The 23,252-nt window shown below is 39.0% G+C and overlaps 1 protein-coding gene and 1 long non-coding RNA gene across 3 annotated transcripts in view; one reads left to right on the plus strand and one right to left on the minus strand.

The window, feature by feature from the left end:
• Positions 1 to 7,698: 7,698 nt before the first annotated feature.
• On the minus strand, positions 7,699 to 9,324 carry LOC124901392 (uncharacterized). Its single transcript, XR_007059733.1, has 2 exons — positions 8,986 to 9,324; positions 7,699 to 8,890 (listed from the first exon to the last, which is right to left on the minus strand). It is a non-coding gene; the product is annotated as an uncharacterized LOC124901392 (long non-coding RNA).
• A 1,314-nt stretch (positions 9,325 to 10,638) lies between these two features.
• Positions 10,639 to 23,252, plus strand: part of CLVS2 (clavesin 2) — a 76,691-nt gene continuing 64,077 nt past the window's right edge. For both annotated transcript variants that reach the window (NM_001010852.4, XM_047418196.1), the window contains exons 1-2: positions 10,639 to 11,150; positions 11,623 to 12,570. In NM_001010852.4, the coding sequence (NP_001010852.2) occupies positions 12,182 to 12,570 (389 nt within the window). In that variant the 5' untranslated portion in view covers positions 10,639 to 11,150; positions 11,623 to 12,181. The remainder of the gene's footprint in view (positions 11,151 to 11,622; positions 12,571 to 23,252) is intronic.

Raw genomic sequence — 23,252 nt, forward strand, 5'->3', positions numbered from 1 at the left:
ATGGAGAGAAAAAATGATGAAAAATGCACATGATACAGGATGAGATATAGAGAAAATAGTGAGGAGATACAATATGTGTATAACTGGAATTCCAGAAGCAGACGAGAAATAAAATGAAGCAGAAGTAATATTTGAAGATGTCAAGACTTAGATCACTCCAAAACAGATAAGAGCCATCAAGATAGAGTCAAGAAGCCCTATAAATGCCAGGAAGAATTTTTAAAATGTATAAAAAGTAATAAAGGAAAGAAAGAGTGATAAAAGAGTAAAGTAATAGGTGGTTGGCAAGATAGCCGAATAGGAAGAGCTGTGGTCTGCAGCTCCTAGTGAGATCAACCTAGAAGGCACGTGATTTCTGCATTTTCAACTGAAGTACCTGGCTCATCTCACTGTGACTGTTTAGACAGTGGGTGCAGCCCACAGAGGGCAAGCCAAAGCAGAGTGGGGTGTTGCCTCACCCGGAAAACACAAGGGGTTGGGGAACTCCCTCCCCTAGCCAAGGGAAGCCGTGAGGGACTGTGCCATGGGGAAACAGTGCATTCTGGCTCAGATACTACACTTTTTCCACTGTCTTCACAACCTGCAGACCAGGAGATTCCCTCGGATTCCTACACCGCCAGGGCCTTGGGTTTCAAGCACAAAACTGAGTGGCCCTTTGGGCAGTAACCAAGCTAGCTGCAGAAGTTTCATTTGTTTGTTTGTTTTTTCATATCCCAGTGGCACCTGGAATGCCAGTGAGACACAACTGTTTACTCCACTGGAAAGGGGGCTGAAGCCAGGGAGCCAAGTGGTCTAGCTCAGTGGATCCCACCCCCACAAAGCCCAGCAAGCGAATATCCACTGGGTTGAAATTCTCACTGCCAGGACAGCAGTCTGAAGTCTACCTGGGACACTTGAGCTTGGTGCAGGGAGTGGCATCCACCATTACTGAGGCTTGAGTAGGCAGTTTTCCCTTCAGAGCATAAACAAAGCCCCCAGGAAGTTCGAACTGGGTGGAGCCCACCGCAACTCAGCAAAGCTGCTGTAGCCAGACTGCCTCTCTAGATTCTTCCTCTCTGGGCAGGGCATCTCTGAAAGAAAGGCAGCAGCCCCAATCAGGGGCATATAGATAAAACTCCCATCTCCCTTGGACAGAGCACCTGGGGGAAGGGGCAGCTGTGGGTGCAGCTTCAGCAGACTTAAAGTTCCTGCCTCCCAGCTCTGAAGAGAGCAGCAGATCTCCCAGCACAGTGCTCGAGCTCTGCTAAGGGACAGACTGCCTCCTCAAGTCGGTCCCTAACTCCTGTGTCTTCTGACTGGGAGACACCTCCCAGCTGAGGTCGACAGACACCTCATGTAGGAAAGCTCCAGCTGGCATCCGGCGGGTGCCTCTCTGGGACGAAGCTTCCAGAGGAAGGAACAGGCATCAGTCTTTGCTGTTCTGCAGCCTCCACTGGTGATACCGAGGTAAACAGTGTCTGGAGTGGACCTCCAGCAAACTCCAGCAGACCTGCAGCAGAGGGGCCTGACTGCTAGAAGGAAAACTAACAGACAGAAAGAAATAGCATCAACATCAACAAAAAGGATCTGAACATCACCAAAAACCCCATCCGAAGGTTACCAGCGTCAAAGATGAAAGGTAGATAAATTGACAGAGATGAGGAAAAACCAGCGCAAAAAAAGGCTGAAAATTCAAACTACCAGAATGCCTCTTCTCCTCCAAAGGATCACTACTCCTTGCCAGTAAGAACAAAACTAGACAGAGAATGAGTTTGACGAATGGACAAAAGTAGGTTTCAGAAAGTGGGTAATAACAAACTCCTCCAAACTAAAGGAGCATATTCTAACCCAATGCAAGTAAGCTAAGAACCTCGAAAAAAGGTTGGAGAAATTACTAACTAGAATAACCAGTTTAGAGAAGAACATAAGTGACCTGATGGAGCTGAAAAACACAGCACGAGAACTTCGTGAAGCATACACAAGTATTAATAGCCAAATCGATCAAGCAGAAGAAAGGATATCAGAGACTGAAGATCAACTTAATGAAGTAAAGCATGAAGACAAGATTAGAGAGGAAAGAATGAAAAGGAATGAACAAAGCCTCCAGGAAATATGGGACTGTGTGAAAAGACCAAACCTACGTTTGATTGGTGTACCTGGAAGTGACGTGGAGAACGAAACCAAGTTGGAAAACACTCTTCAGGAAATTATCCAGGAGAACTTCCCCAACCTAGCAAGACAGGCCAACATTCAAAGTCAGGAAATATAGAGAACACCACAAAGATACTCCTCAAGAAGAGCAACCGCAAGACACATAATCATCAGATTCACCAATGTTGAAATGAAAGAAAAAATGTTAAGGGCAGCCAGAGAGAAAAATTGGCATATCCACAAAGGGAAGCCCATCAGACTAACAGCAGATCTCTCTGCAGAAACCCTACAAGCCAGAAGAGAGTGGGGGCCAATATTCAACATTCTTAAAGAAAAGAATTTTCAACCCAGAATTTCATATCCAGCCAGACTAAGCTTCATAAGCAAAGGAGAAATAAAATCTCTTACAGACAAGCAAATGCTGAGAGGTTTTTTACCCCCAGGCCTGCATTACAAGAGCTTCTGAAGGAAGCACTAAATATGGAAAGGAAAAACTGGTACCAGCCACTGCAAAAACATACCAAATTGTAAACACCATGTGACACTATGAAGAAACTACATCAACTAATGGGCAAAATAACCAGCTACCATCATAATGACAGGATCAAATTCACGCATAACAATACTAACCTTAAATATAAGTGGGCTAAATGCCCCAATTAAAAGACACAGACTAGAAAATTGGATAAAGAGTCAAGTCTGATCGGTGTGCTGTATTCACGAGACCCATCTCGCATGCAAAGACACACATAGGCTCAAAATAAAGGGATGGAGGAATATTTACCAAGCAGATGGAAAGAAAAAAAAAATCAGGGGTTGCAATCATAGTCTCTGATAAAATAGACTTTAAACCAACAAAGATTAAAAAAAAACAAATAAGGGCATTACATAATGGGAATGGGACCAATGCAACAAGAAGAGCTAACTATCCTAAATATATATGCAACCAATACAGAAGCACTCAGATTCATAAAGCAAGTTCTTAGAGACCTACAAAGACACTTAGACTCCCACACAATAATAGTGGGAGACATTAACACCCCACTGTCAATATGAGACAGATCAACGAGACAGAAAATTAACAAGGATATTCAGGACTTGAACCCAGCTCTGGACCAAGAGAACCTAATAGACATTTACAGAACTCTCCACCCCAAATCAATAGAACTTACGTTCTTCTCAGCACCACATCGCACTTATTATAAAATTGACCACATAATTGGAAGTGAAACACTCCTCAGCAAATGCAAAAGAACAGAAATCATAACAAACAGTCTCTCAGACCACAGTGCAATCAAATTAGTACTCAGGATTAAGAAACTCACTCAAAACCACATAACTACATGGAAACTGAACAACCTACTCCTGAATGACTACTGGGTAAATAACAAAATTAAGGCAGAAATAAATAAGTTCTTTGAAACCAATGAGAACAAAGAACCAATATACTAGAATCTCTGAGACACAGCTAAAGCAGAGTATAGAGGGAAATTTATAGCACTAAATGCCCACAGGAGAAAGTGGGAAAGATCTAAAGTCAACACCCTAACATCACAATTAAAGGAACTAGAGAAGCAAGAGCAAACAAACTGAAAAGCTAGCAGAAGACAAGAAATAACTAAGATCAGAGCAGAACTGAAGGAGACAGAGACACGAAAAACCCTTTAAAAAATCAATGAATCCAGGAGCTGGTTTTTTGAAAAGATTAACAAAACAGATAGACTGCTAGCCATACTAATAAAGAAGAAAAGAGAGAAGAACCAAATAGACACAATAAAAAATGATAAAGGGGCGATCACCACTGATCCCACAGAAGTACAAACTACCATCAGGGAATACTATAAACACCTCTACTCAAATAAACTAGAAATTCTAGAAGAAATGGATAAATTCCTGGATACATACAGCCTCCCAAGACTAAACCAGGAAGAAGCTGAATCCCTGAATAGACCAATAATCGGTTCTGAAATTGAGGCAGTAATTAATATCCTACCAAACAAAAAAAGCCCAGGACCAGATGGGTTCAAGCCGAATTCTACCAGAGTTACAAAGAGGAGCTGGTACCGTTCCTTCTGAAACTGTTCCAAACAATAGAAAAAGAGGGACTCCTCCCTGTCTCATTTTATGAGGCCGCATCATCCTGATACCAAAACCTGGCAGAGACACAACAACAACAACAAAAAGAAAACTTCAGGGAAATATCCCTGAAGAACGTCAATGAAAAAATCCTCATTAAAATACTGACAAATCGAATCCAGCAGCACATCAAAAAGCTTATTCACCATGATCAAGTTGGCTTCATCCCTGGGATGCAAGGCTGGTTCAACATACACAAATCAATAAATGTAATCCATCACATAAACAGAACCAATGACAAAAAACACATGATTATCTCAATAGATGCAGAAAAGGCCTTCGATAAAGTTCAACACCGCTTCATGCTAAAAACTCTCAATAAACTAGGTATTGACGGAATGTATCTCAAAATAATAACAGCTATTTTTGACAAACCCACAGCCAATATATTGAATGGGCAAAAGCTGGAAGCATTCCCTTTGAAAACTGGCACAAGACAAGGATGCTCTCTCTTACCACTCCTATTCAACATACTATTGGAAGTTCTGGCCAGGGCAATTAGGCAAGAAAAAGAAGTAAAGGACACTCAAATAGGAAGGGAGGAAGTCAAATTGTCTCTGTTTGCAGATGACATAATTGTATATTTAGAAAACCCCAGCGTCTCAGTCTAAAATCTCCTTAGGCTGATAAGCAACTTCAGCAAAGTCTCAGGATACAAAATCAATGTGCAAAAAATCACAAGAGTACCTATACACCAAAATAGACAGAGAGCCAAATCATGAGTGAACTCCCATTCACAATTGCTCCAAAGAGAATAAAATAACTAGAAATACAACTTACAAGGGATGTGAAGGACCTCTTCAAGGAGAACTACAAACCACAGATCAAGGAAATAAGAGAGGACACAAACAAATGAAAAAACATTTTATGCTCATGGATAGGAATAATCAATACCGTGAAAACGACCATATTTCCCAAAGTAATTTATAGATTCAATGCTATCCCCATCAAGCTATCATTGACTTTCTTCACAGAATTACAAAAACTACTTTAAATTTCATGGGGAACCAAAAAAGAGCCCATATAACCAAGACAATCCTAAGCAAAAAGAACAAAGCTGGAGGCATCATGCTACCTGACTTCAAACTATACTACAAGGCTACAGTAACCAAAACAGCATGATACCAGTACCAAAACAGATATACAGATCAATGGAACAGAACAGAGCCCTCAGAAATAACACCACACATCTACAGACATAGGAATGGGCAAAGACTTCATGACTAAAACACCAAAAGCAATGGCAACAAAAGCCAAAATTGACAAGTGAGATCTAATTAAACTAAAGAGCTTCTGCACAGCAAAAGAAACTATCATCAGAGTGAACAGGCAACCTACAGAATGGGAGAAAATTTTTGCAGTCTATCCATCTGACAAAGGGCTAATATCCAGAATCTACAAGGAACTTAAACAAATTTATAAGGAAAAAACAACCCCATGAAAAAGTGGGCACAGGATATCAACAGCCACTTCTCAAAAGAAGACATTTATGTGGCCAAAAAACATGAAAAAAAGCTCATCAGAAATATGCTGAAAATTAAAGATGAGAAGAGAAAATAAAATCAGGCAGAGACAAATAAGAGATTACTTTCAAAGGAATAATGAAAAAATTGAGTTAACTTGACTACAGAAATAAGACAAGCCAGAGAAAAAGAAAAAAAATATTTAAAGTATTGAAAGGAAACAGCTGCTAATTTAGAATCCTATAGCTTACAAATATGTTTTTAGAGTAAAAGTAAAATAACTTTCAGACAAATAAAACAAATAATTTACAACCCTCAGATCTGTACTAAAGGACACATTATAATGTGTTCAAGTGAAAAAACAAACAAATCACTACTATATGGAAACTCAGAGATACGGGAAGGAATAAAGAAGAGTAAAAAGGATACATATGGGGTTAAATCTAAAGCATTGATTCTCAAATTTCAGTGTAAATTAGAATCATTCAAAGGACTGAGCAGAAAACTTTGTGAGTCTCTGAATTTTAGGGAGGATTTCTGATTCAATATGTCAGGCATGGGAGTTTACATTTCTAACAAGTTCTCAGGTAATTCTAATGCTGCTGGTCTGGGACCCACATTTTGGGAACCACTGAGGAATATTGGTTGTATAAAAAAAGGTGGAGTTTAAAATTTACATTAAATCACAATCTACTCGCATGTGAAAAATTATTTTTGTGTGACAACAGTTGCGCTGTCTAGTAGGGAAAAAAAGATGATCTTTTTGATAGTCTCCGTAAATGGTACTGAGTAAACAGGTTATTCACATAGAAAAAAATTACTTGACCTATTTCTCACATTATGAGCAAAATACAATCTGGTGAATTGCAAGTCTAAATGTGAAAGGCAACAACAATAAAATTTCTAGACAGTAAACTGGAGAATAAATATCTGAGTAATTATGGGATATTCTAAGCAGGACCTAAAAAGCACTATTCATAGGAGAAAAACTGAATTACCTAAAAATTTAAAATTATGTTGATTAAGAGACAGGGCTAAGAGAGTGAAAGAAACAAGCCATGGACATGGAGAAGATATTCACAACATGTGCAGCTGACAAAGGGTTTATATTCAGAATCTATAAAGAAGCTCTACAATTCAATATTAAAGCAATCAACACCCCACTATAAACATCAGCAAAATCTCTGAAATGACACTTCACACAAATAATGTACAAATGGCCCAAAAAACGTGAAAGTTTAACCTCATTAGTAGTGATGGGAAAGCATACCAAAACCATAATACAATACCCTTGTTCAAAATCAGAATGGATAAAGTTAAAATTATAGACAATAATAAGATTTCTGAGAACATGGCACAGTAAGAACACTCATATATTGCTGGGGGTTGGTGAAACAACCATTTGGAAAACAGTTTGGCATTATTTACTAAATTTGGAGATGCACATTACATATGACCCAGAAATTTTCATTCCTAGGTCTCTCCATGTGCACCAAAAGACATGTGCCAGAATCTTCATACATCATGGTTCATAAGAGCTCCAAACTGAAAACAACCCAAATTTCCCTCCACAGTAGAATGACACACATATTGTAGTAGGTGTATAAAAATGAAATTCTACGGCTGGGTGCGGTGGCTCATGCCTGTAATCCCAGCACTTTGGGAGGCCGAGGCTGGAAGATCATGAAGTCAGGAGTTCATAACTAGCCTAACCAACATGGTTAAACCCTGTCTCTACGAAAAATACAAAAATTAGCCAGGAGTGGTGGCGTGTGCCTGTAATTCCAGCTACTCAGGAGGCTGAGGCAGGAGAATCACTTGAACCTGGGAGGCGCAGGTTGCAGTGAGCCAGGATCACCCCATTGCACTCCAGCCTGGGTGACAGAGGGAGACTCCGTCTCAGGAAAAAAAGAAATGCAATTTTATGCACCATTACTGAATATGAGGGAGCTGCTACATACAACAACACTGACAAAGACAAATCACACAAATTTAATATTGAATGAAAGAGGTCAATCATAACATTACATATAAATGATTACATTTAAGTTCAGAAACAGAAAAACAAAATTGTAGTTATTTAGTTGGTAAAATTTAAAAAAAACAAACAAGGATTACTTTTAAAATAAAGACAGTGTGGCTTCCTTTGTTGGAAAGAGGCCAGTAGTTAGGAGGGGAATGGGAGGGGGCTTTCTGGCTACTGACAATGCTTGGTTTCTTAACCTGGTTGGACACTTACATGTGTGTTTCCCTTGTAAGATAGAATTGAGCCGTACATCTTTATTTTGTGCTCCTTTTTGTGCATATATTTTATTTAACAATAAAGGGAATAAAATGTTTTAAAACATAAAGTACTTACTCTACTCATTTTAAATATAGCAGTAAACCAAACTTTTCTTTCTAGTTACTTGAAAACACCTGAAGTCCTTGATTTAATTATTTTTCCAATAATGCTTTAATTAATACTTTTGTTTAGATAATTTATTCTCATATTCCAGTTCCTACATTACTTTGCATTAATTTGGCAAGGTAGATTAATATTGAATGAAAATCAAATGCTCTGATGTCATCTGAATAAACACCTTGTTTAATTTTAGATGGCTTCGTGTATTCATTTTGGTTTCAGAACTGAGTTCAAATGTATAAGTAGAGAGAGAATAACAGTATAATCACTAAAGTTTTGTAAATATGATTTAAAAATCTTATATATACCTAACTGACCTGCTCCAACAATCCTACTGGGTGATAGAGACTATTTCTATCATATGTAGATATGTTAAAATAAATCTATTTGAAGCAATTCTGTTATTGGTAAATAATAAATAATAAAAATGTCATCCTTCAACCTTCAATACTGGTCATAACATATGCTGGGCCAAAAAATACATTTTATTTTATAAATTCCCTTAAAAATATAGTCTAATATGTCCATCTCAGAGAACAAAATTAAACAACTGTTTTTTCATCAAGGTGAAAGATCTGAATTTTAACTTCACTTACAGGCTAACAAGTTAGCTGGCTGTAGTTTCATGGATGCCGATGGAAGATGCAAAACTCTTGGCTTCGAGATAAAGGATTTTGTCACTCAGGCATAGCGGGCAGTATGAGCATCTGCATATCTTGCATTGACTGGTCCCCTGAGCTCTAATTCCCACAGATAGCTAAGAAAAGAGGATCAAGTGATACTGGCATAAACAATGGGTGGCATTACAGCAGAATAGCTCTGAGTTTAGGGAATTCAAATAAGCTTGCCTACCTTTTGGTCAGGAGAGAGATATCACAGCTTTCAAGGCTTTGTTTCAGATGGAGGTACTATCTCTATCTTCCAATATCTTCCAAGACTATTTACTGTACAAATACCCTTGAGAAGACAGTCTAGAAAAAAGGGCAATTAGTGCCTTGGTCATAAGACAGGTAGAAACACAACGGATCCAGGGAGAATTGTCTCTCCATGTTGGTGATGACTAAAACTTCTTCATACAGTTGATACGAAACATAAATTTTCTTCAACCTCTAAAATATTAGAAAAAATGATTTTTTCAAATGTTTTAAAATGAGAACCAAAAATTTAACAGTTCACATTGCATTCAGCATGCTTGAGAAAGTCATAATCACTTAAAATCCTAGAAGGACCTTATATATAGTGCATATATATAACACACATATACACACACTTAAGTGGTTTATTTTCTGCCTTCCCCATTTAAAACATAAATTCCTTGACAATAATGACTGTGTGTGTGTGTGTGTGTGTGTGTGTAATTTATTGTCTTATTCGGGTTCCTACATTAATTTGCATTAATTTAATTAATAAATGCTCTAGCTCTACCATACAACCCTTTTCCTTCTTTCTTTTTATCAACACCATCGCCATGAGAAGAGCAAAAACAAGTGTGCCTGTATTTTGAGGGTTCTCATAGTCATCAACATTGAAAATGACAAGATAAGAAATGTCAAGATAAGAAAATGACAAAATTTGCTTATCTTCAAGACCACCTCCTATACACAGAATGCAGAAAAATGCCCCACACCTCGTGGAACTCAGTAAATATTAGTTGCATTGAATTAACTTCAATTCAAGACCCCATTCTACAGTTTATAAAGTCAAAAGTTGCTCTTAGTAACACGCTCAGTAATATGTGCTGTGTTTTGAAAATAGAAAATATCCCTTTTCCTCAAATCCATAGATAGTCATATTAAGCGCAAGGACTTCTGTTTATTTATAATGATTCTCATATACAGATGCATACAACTGAAGGAAGGATGGTATGTGTTTCCAGAAATATTTGCTTTATGATGAGATATGAGTGAAGTTCCTATTTTTTTCTTCCTTTGAGAATTATGTTTTTATTATCATTTACCCTAGTGCTCATTTTCATCCTCTTCAACAGAAATTTAGCAGGGAGACTGGTTGAAAAACTATTCATATAAGTTCCTCCGGAGGCTTAATCATCAGTACATTGTCTTGGAACCACTCTGGTGTTTTCTAAATTAAATATCTCTGTCTACAACAAATGCGAAAAGTACAGAATGTTTCCGTACTCCTTCTACATCAAAATTGCCTCCTACAGGAACGAGAAAATGCGTGTCAATGTGAATTACCGTCTACAACAGCTACTCTCCAGGCTGATCTGGGGTCTTGCACACAAAGGGCGAAGAGAGGGGCGTGGGGAGGCTGGAAAGCATGGTTGCCCCGCCTGGCCCGGCGACGCCCGCTCAGCAGCCTGCTGAGGAGTGGGGACGAAGAGCAGCCTAAACTTAGGGCTCGGGATATTTCGATGCCACCCAAATTGCCGTCCTACCCCAACGAGGCAGGGAAAGGAGCGGAGCGCGCGCGCGAGCTGAGTGAGTGCTTACGTCGCAGCGAGATCTGTGCTGGGATAATTAGAGAGGAGTTGGGCTGAGCCGAGTCCTCTTTCAGCAGCAGCAGCCGGAGCCGCCGCCGCAGCCCGGTGGGGCAACCCTGACTCGGACCGCTCGGGAGAGCCCCAGGAGAGGCCAGCGCCGCGCAGCAGCCGCCCCGCTGCGCCCACCTCCCCGGCTGCTCCCGGAGGGCTCACAAAGGCGGTGGCCGCCCGAGTGGCCTTCTCCATCCAGGCGTTCGCGTCCTCCTCCCCACCTTCTCTCCCGAAGGCGAAAATGGCAGGGCCAGGCGAGAACCTGGGACAGCGGTGGCCCTAGCCCTGCGATCCTCACCCCTCCTGCTAGGAGAGGCTGCGGGCTGCCCGCGGACGATGTGGCCGCGGCTGCTCCCGAGCGCATCTTCGGCCCGGGTCCCCGCCGCCACCCCTCTTCTCTGCTCCTTCCATCCCGCCCAGAGGAGTTGATGCCGCTGTCGCCGCCGCCGCCGCTGCTGAAGCCGCGGCTGATGGATGCCAGGGAGTGCCGCATTGCTTAGCGACCCCGCCTCTGGGTTTGCTGGTAGGAGCGGCTGCTCTTTCTTCTTTCTTGCTTTGGGGTTTTATAGAAAAGATAAGGACATTTTTATTTTATTCTTCACAACGTCCTCCCCTTCTCTTCGTTTTTGAAATGTGCATTCCCAGAGATATCCCCGGTCCCCTCCCTCCCCCTCCCCCCTTTTCTCCAACCCCGCGGCAAGTCCGTGGAAATGAAGGGCTAGAGGAAGGCAGAAGTTGGGGGTGGGGTTGGGGGAGCCCACGCTGGTACCAACGCCACCAGAACCCCTGCTGGTGCCTTATGAGATCACGGTGTATCTCAGAGGGGTGGTGGGAAGGTGCGCTATCTGCAGAGTCTTCACCTAATTGGATCACAATAATCTTAAATAAATCACACAAATTTGTCTTTTAAAAATAGCGTCTTTGAATAAGTACAGGGAGAAATAATCTCCTTTCTCCCCCCTCTTTCTCTCTGTCTCTTTTTCTTTCTGGCAAAGATGATCTCTCTCCGCCCTGGAGCTCAGCGCTGAAGAGCTACCTTATTATTAATCAGAATTTCCATCGCCACCCCTGGCAGGCGTATCCTTCAGCAGGGACCGCAGGAACATTCACAGTGCAGGGGCTGAGATGTGCGTGGGGGTTGTTTTTGTTACATCTTGGAAGAGAAGAGAAGAGGACAGTACCAAGATCAGAAACACCCGTGCTAGGTGGAATTAGGGGTGATTTGTTAGGAAAGAGAAAGGACAAGAAGAGGAGTGCGGAGCCCTTCAGGGGTTCACATCTCTTTAAAGGAAAGGAAAGAGGGAGCCAAAGTAGGGTGTTGTATTTTAGGGGGCAGAGGAAGAAGTTTACACCCCCCGGCCCCCCCAGCTTTGCTGGGGGAAAGCAGGAGCAACAGGGCACTTGATTGGACACCAAGATTATTAATTTCCTGTAGGGGAGAGGAAGCAGGCAGCAGGAGGTCTGGGGGCTGGAGTCTGGTGGTGGCAAGGACCAGGTTTGCTTTGGGACAGTCAACAAGGTCTTCTGAGGGAAAGCTCAGAGATAGGCAGAACAATGACTCATTTGCAAGCCGGTCTCTCCCCTGAGACCCTGGAGAAAGCTCGCCTGGAGCTCAATGAAAACCCAGACACGCTGCACCAGGACATCCAGGAGGTGAGGGATATGGTCATCACCAGGCCGGACATTGGCTTTCTGCGCACGGATGATGCCTTCATCTTACGCTTCTTGCGGGCTAGGAAGTTTCATCACTTTGAGGCCTTCCGCCTCCTGGCGCAGTACTTTGAGTACCGGCAGCAGAACCTGGACATGTTCAAAAGCTTTAAGGCCACCGACCCTGGCATCAAGCAGGCACTGAAGGATGGCTTCCCTGGGGGCCTGGCCAATCTGGACCACTATGGCAGGAAGATTCTAGTCCTTTTTGCTGCCAATTGGGATCAGAGCAGGTAAATCCTAAATCCAAACTTGTATTCTCCTTTTACTCTCCCATTTTCCAGAATTTACCCCGAGTAGTGTCATGGTTTTGTAGATTTGATATTTTTGTTTATTTGGCTTGGAGAAAAGAGAAACAAACCAGGAGATGAGTTTTTGGTGGGCACCCTGGGAAGGGAGGAGGGCTTGTATTTTTACTTTTAAAACTTACTTCACTAACACCCACTTTCTACTGCAGCTTTAAGGTGCTACCTTAACCACGTTATTGCACAGAGATCTAAATCACTTAACTTGTAAATAAAGCTTCTCTGTATGTTTCACCTTCTGAAAAAGTTTATTGGGCTGGATAAACCAGTAAGAAAATGGGGACAACTTTTCCTCCTTCTTCCTAAAAAAATTCTTAAACTAGACCCATCATCATTGTCATCATCATCATCATCATCCTCTCTTTGGTACTGACGTTTTATCTTTTAAGCATAGCCTGGCGTTCGACCAAAAGCAAGTAGTTTTGTTGCTTGGGAAGTTCTCTGTTTGGTGATGTGTAGAAGAAGGAATAATATGATTTGTGTCCCTTCAGTGAAAGGAAGAGTTGCATCCTCTGTCGCTGAGCATGCCTGCTGACACTGAAAATGTACACTGACTGGTGTATGTGTCCTACACCTGCCACTAATCTAAAGAATCTGTCTCCTGTCTCATGTGATTTTTCATCTTTTGGAAGGAAGTGGAAAATATTCAGATGTGTCAGTTGGTGGACTTTTTGAGCTCATGTGCTACTTAATAGAGAAGAAATAATATTCTTTTTATCTACATTATTATAGAAAAATGCAGGCAATGACACTTCTCTGTCCTCCTTCAGAACTGTTTTCTCAGACTGAAAGATATAAGAAATTATAAAAGGCTCTTGTGCAAGGTAGTTTCAATTAAGTTCAAAGTTAAATATATTTCATGGGACTTAAAATGCTACCAGAGCTATGAATCATAAGAAGCTGCTTGTTAAAACATTGGTGTATTTTTAGTTCTGTGAATGGTGACTTTCAATGCATCTGGTTAGTTTAAATCATCTCTGGAGCCATCGTACAAGACATTTACAGTTACCAAGAGGGCTTATGGATCATAGAGATTTCCAGATAGGCTTCCGAGTCTTGGTATCTTAGAATGTAAATTAATATTTTTAATTATTTTTTCTCTCATTTTATTGTGATTTTTTTCCCTGTAATTCTAGGTTGACAATCACTCCAATTTTTTTAGGCAAATAGAAAGACAAACTACTACCTGAAGATTCATAATGCTAAGAAACTCATACAGAGTTAGCCATTCAGAGGGAATGGAGTTTTGTTACTTACTTTGGCCAGTTATAGAGATGTTATTCCACTTTTTATCAGGTAGCTGAAAATTTTAAAGAATTACAACTTTTTATTCATTGACCACAATTTTTGTTTAAAAATGTTTTCTTTTCATCCTAAAAGTACATTGTAGGATCATGCAAATCAATGACTGTGTATAACAGAACTGAAAAATTTTATTCAAGGAAAAAACTAATATTCTGTATGTCAGATTGGAACTTTGTTAATTGAGCTATAGTGAAATGGAACCTGGAAATTTTATATTTATATAAATCTCGAAGTCTGTTAGAGATACCATTATGGGGGCAGATTGCATTCAGAGAGGCATACATATATATCAGACCTATTTTCATGAATTTCTATAAGTGAACTAATATTCATAATTATTTGTAAACCTAATTAAGATGAAAGTCACTTATAGTTTTCATATATATGAGAAAGTGATAATTCTGAATTTATTAGAGACACTGTGTTTTAGTTGTCTATCTCATGCTTCCATATAAAGGGCAGACAACTAGTAATCAAATTCTCTTTCCCTAGAAATCTATAATGGAAACGGAGTTAATAATTGGTATATAGAATTACATTTCATTAAACTTACACATAATCTTAAATACTAAAATGTGTATTAGAACAAAATGAGAAGCTGTGTTCTGTAGAAATTTCCTGTCAAGATGTCTAGACTTGTAATTATGAATTCTATTTCTATGGTTGGAAATAAACAGGTATAATCAAGAAATTATCGCACCTCAAGGTGAAAAGGTATACAAGTGATTTAGAGCTTAGTCAAAATTTCAGTTGAATTTCTTCCTATATTAAAAAAATAATAATTCCCTCTTCTTTCCCACCTTCCTTTTATCCTAAATCTACATAACCCAATGACAGGGACTAGTAGACAAACAGATCTGTCACCTTTGCACCCTCTATAAACCTTTATCACTGGAGCATGTGCATAAAAACGTCCTTGGCTCCTGCTCTGAAACTCAAAGGACAGCTGCCTTTCTGCCAATGCCAGGATGTTACCAACACTTCTTAGCCTGAGTCCCTTTCCTCTACCCCGAAGGCTCCTTGACTCCTACAGAAGTCTGCCTCTTTCCCTAGGTGTTTAAGTTACTATTATTGCTCTGTTAGGTGGATAATGCCATGTGCTAGTTTCTCTTATCCCTCATCCCTCCCCTGTTCTGTGAGTGAGATGTTCTCACCTTCCAGGCCCTGATCCCACCAATCCAAAGCTACCTGGATTTCTCCAGAAGACTGCATGTCTGAAAATAATCCTGGCAACATTCTTTGAGTTGTTAAGTGAAGCACCTGGCTTTCAACAACTTTCTTAAAAAGTAGCCTGTTTTAAAGAAACAGTGTGTGAGAAGTGTAGATGATTACATAGATAAATTCTAGAAATGAGGCGGAAGAAAATGCCTCAGTTTATTTGGAAAACAGGTTATTTATAATTTTCCAACTACAAAAGGAAAAACAAGATTTTATGAATTTTGAAACAATTCGTAAAGACCCCCAATAGAATTGATCTAACAAAAAGACTGTCATGTTATTATATTTAGTACGGCACTTGAACTAGAGTAGATGCTCAATAAATATTTGAGTTGAATTGAGTTATGCATTTGTATAAAAAGAATTCTGAGTAGAGATTTATTTGATATACGCTTTCTCCTATATGAAATTTGTAGGACAGTTTTCTGTGCTCTTCAGGACACTGAAAACAGTAAAACCGTGTGAGACAGTGACTATAAATAAAATAGTGTCTGTTTCTGCTGCAATTTAGTGTAGTTTACTTTTAGGTTATTGTAAAGAATTGGATGATTTCCAAAGCCTTTTTGAGAGACATGGCATCATTAAGAAGACTAACATAAAATCCTAATATTTACAGTGTACCCACCTTCTAACAAATCTAAAAAAAAATGGAAATACTCAAATGTCAAAATGAGTTGCAGTGTGGCCTGTGGTTCTTCCAAAAAACAATAGGGCAAGCCCAGATGACCTGTTACATTTATTGAGCTGTACCTTGGAAAAGATTCATATAATTTTATCTCCTTTTAGATTGCCTTACATAATTTCTGACAACAAAAGTAAATGCCATGGAATTAAAAACTATTTGACTGTTACACTGCATCACAAAGATGCCTTCGTCCTCCATGTATTGCATATTGTTTTCCTTCCTAAATGGTAGTGACCTGCTTAGGACTCAGCAAATACCTTCAAATGGTTCGCAGGATCTTATCAACAGGTGTGAGGATAATGTGCCGTAAAGCTAGCAGAGGTTAACACTGCTGGAGAAAAGGAAGCTTGGAAAGAAAGTACATGGCATTCTAGGTCCTAGAGCATGCAAGCATGTATCTAGGAAGTTGAAATCCACTGTCACATAATTGTTGGAGATATTCATGAGTGAAATTGTGTCACCTGAAACATAATGATGATAGGAAGTGTCAGAGTTCACCTGTAAGTTGTCAGCCTGCAAGTCATATTTTATTTCTCTAGATCTCATTAGAAGTATGTACTTCACTATACTTTAGTACAGCAAACAACCATTTATCTGGAATATGGTTAATAGTCATTAGAAACAGTAATTCTCAGTAATTCTCTGAACTTTAGTATAGCAAACAACCATTTATCTGGAATCTAGTTAATGGCCATTCGAAAACAAACACAGTTAGAACCAAAATGATTCTTAATATGGTGGCAATCCAGAAAGCACTGGCCACCTTGCATGGTCTTTGGCTTATCATAGTGGACATTGATTACCACTTACAGTAGCGAAGCTCTGGAAGGGGCAGAAAACTGATTGGTCAGACATTGATATGATACTCTAACTTATCCTGGAATTTGCCCAAAAAACTTGTCAGTTTGCTCCTATTGTGTGGCTTTTTCATTCAAAAGCAAACATTGTATGAATGGTTGCTATTTGTGGTTCAGTTTGAATTATGATTATGCTTGCATTTACTAAAATAATATGGCCAATGTTCAGAATAGAAGGTTATGGTGATGATAACTTACAATTTAAAACATAGCCATAGACTACACAGATGGGCATTAATGCCAATCACAAAGCTTTACTCATCTCTGGAATTGTACTAAAAATAATAAAATAAAATAAAATAAAATAAAATAAAATGAACAGGAATAGATTAAAACAGTCCAGGGCAATTATCCAGATAATTATGGAGAAATATTTTTACTCTGCAACAAAAAAAGCAAAAAAATAAGAAGTTTAATTTTTCAGCTTAATTTTTCAAGAATTCTTTTCTCAGTTTATTAACATATTAAATAATTCCCAGCTTTTTGCTTCACATTGTCATACCTACTGGCAGAGTCTGGAGTCTAGGAGTCCTTTTCGTAAAAATTCTGGAGGCATGGCTTTGCCATCTTTTGGGTGGATACTGGTTAGGGCAAAACCACAAATGGCAGATATGTATTCCATGGGACTTCTCTCCCAGCAGAGCTTCCATCTTGCTTCCTTTCAGGGAAACTCTTTTAACAAATCCTCTGCTAACTGCAACTTATTCCAAACTATAATCTTGGTACATATCATGGCAAATAGGGGAGGAAAAAAAGTTGTCCTGAGAAATGTTGGAGGAATATGGTGATGAATCTCTGCAAAAATAGGACAATCTCCAAAAACTGGGGCAATTATGCAATAATTAGTAAAATAATCCCGAAATAACAGCAAAAACTACAAGTGCCAACCTTCAGTAGGACGTTGACTAAGGCTGGCCTGAGCCAAGCTATTTTCATGTTTCAAAATCAACTTTAAAGAAGGTCGAGAAGCAAAGGACTTGAGGTTACTACGGTGTCCTGAAAGGATGCCTCAAAAGAAATGTTTAAAGATATTTTAAAACATGAGCCAATAGTTAGTATATTAAGAAGTTATCCTTAGTAAATTAATACATCTCCTCCTTTCTGTGGGAAATGTTAAATTCTCTTACTTTACTGAGGGCAGGTACATCTATTTCACTATTATAGTAAGTGGCTATTACACTATTATCGTAACATGAAGGAAAGGATACTCCTGTATGTGGGATCGTTATGATACCATATGACAAACTGAGTGATTAATATTTTGGTCAAATTAATTGAAAAAAATACACTTTGAGAATTTGTTATGTACATAGCATTTTAGTAGGTACTGGGGGCAAATAAAGACACATACTTTGTACTTTTAAGCAATATGTAACCTCTCTGGGAAGAAAAAACATGTAAAGCTGAGTAACTATCAGAGGTCATATGCAGCTAATGAGGACACTGTTTACCAGTGCTAGAAGCTGGGGACAGGTGGGCAGCTGTGGGCTACTCAGTGTTGTGTAGGAAAGACATTGCCTGCTTGGTTAACTGAATTCAACATTTATTGTTCCATTTTATTCATTATTCATTTCAAAATAATTCTACTGTGTGTATTGTAGCAATTAAGTACTTCACTCATGATCATACAACTGGTAAGTGAATTAGTCGCTTTTTGTGTGTGTGTGTGTAGACAGTTACCAACCTAAATCTAGGGAAAGGCAAATGTATAAAAAAAATCAAATTCTGATAATTAAAGATAATTCCATCTATGGTTTAGAAAATCTCGATTAAATATAACAAAACAGGCAATTAGGAACAGAACGTTAAGATGGAAGAATAAACTTTCTGAAGTCAAAGACTTTAGTTAACTAGATGTTTGCTTAGAGTACTTGGCCCTGATAAAAATAATTGCTTTCTGATGTGTTTGTATTCTCCCAGCACAATTCTGTTTTATTTTGTTTTATTTTTTGGTGGCAATAGATGCAAAAGTTTTTTCTTTACCCGTCTTCTTCAGAGAAAGACATTTTGCCCGCAGATGTTTCATTTCCAACGATTCTCTTGTTCTCACTCACCTACATTCCCACAGCAGTAAAATTAAAGCAAGGCTCAGACATCTAATCTTCTGTGCTCAGTAATACAAGCCAGACAGATGAAATTTCAAGAGTTCATATTTATTCCAGGGATTGTAGATTTAGCCATTTCTTATTCTGAGTCCTAAGGATGTCTTATTGCTTTTCCTCCACCAAAGCTCCCTATTGTGGTGAGGCTGGAGAGTGCCAGGATATTGACTTCCTGATCTCCTATTTTCTGACATATATATTATGCTACCATGAAAAAGCAGACCAGGCCAGGCACGGTGGCTCACGCCTGTAATGCCAGCACTTTGGGAGGCCAAGGCGTGTAGATCACCTGAGGTCAGGAGTTGGATACCAGCCTGGCCAACATGGTGAAACCCCGTCTCTACTAAAATTACAAAAATTAGCCAGGCCTGGTGGCGGGCGCCTGTAATCCCAGCTACTTGGGAGGCCGAGGCAAGAGAATCACTTGAACCCAGGAGGTGGAGGTTTCAGTCAGCTGAGATCGTGCCATTGCACTCCAGCCTGGGCGACAAGAGCAAAACTCCATCTCCAAAACAAAAACAAAAACAAAAACAAAAACAAAAAACAAAAAAAAAAAAAACCAATTATCTATTCATCAAACTCTGTTCTGAGTAGGAGGCACCATGGAGAGGGAAAGAGCACTGGTCTATGTGGTATCAGAAAGATTTGGCTTTGAATCTAGGTTCCCCTTTTTTCCTAAGGTGATTTAAAGCAAACTGTTTAATTTTCTCTGAGACCCTCTGTCCTCATCTGTAAAATAATAAGAACAAATCCAGCTCAGAGATTTTGCAATTGTTTTGAGATTAAGATAATGCATTTGAAATTGCTTTGGAAATCTTAAACTATTACCCAGATAGACATATTATTATTATTACCACTCAGTAATATAAAACACCTAGAAGGCTTCATCAGCTTTACCACTAATAATACCCTGAGGCATTAATAAAGGTAATTTTTCTCCTTTTTTCCCCTCCCCCTAGCACCTTCTACTATGAAGTGCTTCAGACATTAGAAAATGTGGCTTAATGAAAACTGAGGGGTGGGGGAAGCCTAAATAAAGAATTTAATAATGGCTGATTGATTTAGTGACAAAGAGAAATTGCTGGTGTTATGCTGCTCAGTGCGATGCCAAGATGCTAGTTTTTTCTTGTCATGCTGAAAAGGTTGAAAAGTAGAGGGATATGACCTATTTGTCATTAAGTTGATCTTTGCACTGACTGAAAGCTATGGTAGAGGAGGAGATGCTGAGAACCCCAGCAAAGAAGCATGGGTCAGGTAGTCACCAAAAAAATTGCATGGCCAGAGGCAGGAGAAGAAGCTTCTCTGATCTAAAAAATTGAGGGGGCTCCTGATTGCAGGCAGGGTGCCACCCCTCCACAGTGTGGCAGGACAAGGCTCTTGTCCTCTTTCTGGTCCAGGAGCATGTTTTGTATTGGGCTGACAGGGAAGCCTTAAGTGAATGTTATATTTAAATGATGCCATTATGGCACTTTGATGACTGTAAATGTAGATATAGGTAAAATAAAGCAGCATGGTCTATGCCCTTGGGAAATAGTTTGATTTTAACATATATTATTGTGCACCCACAGTGTGCAGCGAACAGTATTTGGTGCTGAAGATAGAAAGTGGTATCAAACAGTGAAAGAGTTTTTAAGCTAAGCTTATATGTCTGGGGCCATAGAACAAACACTGAAGCACTATAATTTCAGAATATGAGAGAGAGGGCGCTGAGGTCTCCAGCAGGTCAAGACAATCTTGCAGAGCAGGGAAAGCTGGTGGCGGGCCCAGAGGAGGGCAGAACTTAGGTGAGGTGAAAAGGAAGGGGAATGTTCCCCTAGATTTAAGTGAACATAAAGCATCGGAGTGTACCAGCTTGTTGGGGGTTGAATATGACCTTGACAGCTGGGGTGAGCCTATGCATGGGTGTACAAAACAAGAAGTATGGTTATTAAGGGAATGGTGCAGTTTTGAAAGAGCCATGGGGGAGTGGTGTTGTGTGCAGGACAATTTTTCAGGCCAATTAATGTTTTAGGACAATTTATCTCACAATAGAGGGTAGGCAAGATTTCTGGAAGAGAAAGATGGGAGAGAAAGAAAAAGAGACACAAGTGCCATTATATTAGGAAATAAAGCTAGGACTCTAGTAGAAAGAGTTAGATGCCAAAGATGTATAAATATATAAAAGACAAAAAAATTTAGGACTTGGTGAATAAATGTAGAGGGAGAAGGAAAGGGAATATTTGAGAATGATTCTTCATTAATTGATTAATGTACGCAATCCCAGAGGAAAATGGGAGACACTAAATTGAGTTACACTAATATATGTCAGGTAGCAAGGAGTCACTAAGGTGCTGATGTTCAGATGGCAACTAGAAAGATGAGGATGTTGCACAGGACTGACACTAGCTCTGTGGATATCGAGCCGTCACCAATGTATTGGCCAAGGGGATGAGTGCATGATTTGGTAACTCCAGGAGATACTATATGATGACAGCAGGGGAACAAAGTCTTATTTCTACATTTGGATGATCGCAGCAGGGAACCAAAGATGAAAGATAATAGACTGACCAGAAAAGTGGAAGGAAAAAAAGTTCAATGCAGCGTCACAGAACCAAATAGAAGAGTTTCAACAGCAATAATCGCAGAAAATATTTATGGTTTCTATTATATGTCAAGTACTGTTAAAAACTTTACATATATTATTTTGTTTCATTTTGTCCTCACAATAATTCTATGAAGTTAAGATTAAGTGGTTAAAAAGTACAAAAAGCAAGTATAGAATATGTGATTGTTGAAAAAGCAAAAGTCATACAATTGTAGAAGTCATAGAAGTTAACATTTATTGTTTGCTATGTGCTACCCATTGGGCTAAGTAGTTTACATTCTGTCCTATGAGGTAACTATTATTATCATCATTTTTAAAAGAGAAAAGGGAGACTTAGAAAAGTTCAGTAACTTCAAGGTGTATGAGACTAAGCTGCGATTAGGCAAATAATCAAGGATCCCCATTTTATTTTGTATTTGTTAATAGCTGTGAGTTTTACTTTAAAAAAGGCTTTTAAGTTACATAAACATGCCCCAAATAATTAATTCATGAATATATATCCTACTGTGCAAGGAAGACTGATTTCATAACTGAAAAATTTCAAGAGGTATTAGATGTTTTCCTTCTGATTGCACAGGTAGTACATAGTTGCTATGGGTATTAAAGTCTGCTCCATATGTTTTTTATGTGTTCTAGCAGCTTTTATTCTTTTCAAGAGCAGTATTCTACATAGTCTGGTGTCAGTTGTAAAATTTCTTATTGGTGTCATGATTTCTTCTTACTGCATGCTACACAGCATTCTTTTCACAAATTCAAATTTTACTTAATGCTATTTTGAGAAGCACAATCAGGAGTCAAGAGCTGCAATTATGTGCTAGTTTTGATTTATAGCTTTCTTTCAGCATACAAGAGAAGAATAACAATAGTGGAACTCACACAATTTCAGTGTAAACCCCAAACATGAACAAGTAGAGTATTTCATTGTAGTGACCTCTAATTTGTAAATTATAACAGTTAAAATAATTTTAAAAAGGAGAGTATGGCAGGAGTCCTGAAGAGATAAAATTCATAGATGCTACATTTCTTTGGAAGATATTTTACAGATTCTGGCAAGATCCTGTGTAGTACTGTTCTGCTGAGGAATAGCCTGCTGAGCTGCTAATGGTAATAATGTGAGATGTTTGACAACAGAGGAGTGGAGTTAAGAGTGGTTTTGACCTGCCCATTGAATGGAGTTAGCTAGTGTATTTTTATGTTTCTTTTTCTAAACTTCTAAATTAATGTAATTTTTATAAAAATCATTTGATTCTCTTCTTGGAGCCAGATATTGAATTCAAAAAAGGTGGTTAGACTTACTCTTGATAATTTTGCAAACCTACTTTTCTTCATTGCTGATTTTGGGATTTGCCTTATATTATTTCCTTTGGAATAATGATATGTGTATCAACGTTTATCTTGATTTTGAAACAGTTTAGGAGAACCATACTTCAAGTGTGTTATTTAAAACACATTGCCTCTTGTTTTCAGTCCTTACTGGTACCTTGATTAATTTTTACTACATACAATGTATCATCCTTCCAAAGCTGATTTCAAATTTAAATTTTATTTAATGCCATTTTGGTATTAATGCTATTTGATTTCTTATGGATAACATAAGAATGGTCAACCTCATAATGAGGGAAACCTTTGAAGTTAGACTTTTTGAATCCTTGATTTTCTTCACCGTGATATTATTATGAATTTCAGAAATTAAAACTTTTTTTTTTTGGTGGGGGTCTGAATTTCAACCAGAAATACAGTCTTCCTGCTCCAACCTTCCAATGCCTGTGTTTATAGGTTTCAGGTCCTGACAGTGTGTCAGGCCATTATGTTTAAAATGGAGGTAGGCCAGCCATAAAGGGACTTTTAAAGGTGTTCAC

This window comes from Homo sapiens, chromosome 6 (genome assembly GCF_000001405.40).
Source record: "Homo sapiens chromosome 6, GRCh38.p14 Primary Assembly".
NCBI classification, from domain to species: Eukaryota; Metazoa; Chordata; class Mammalia; order Primates; family Hominidae; genus Homo; species Homo sapiens.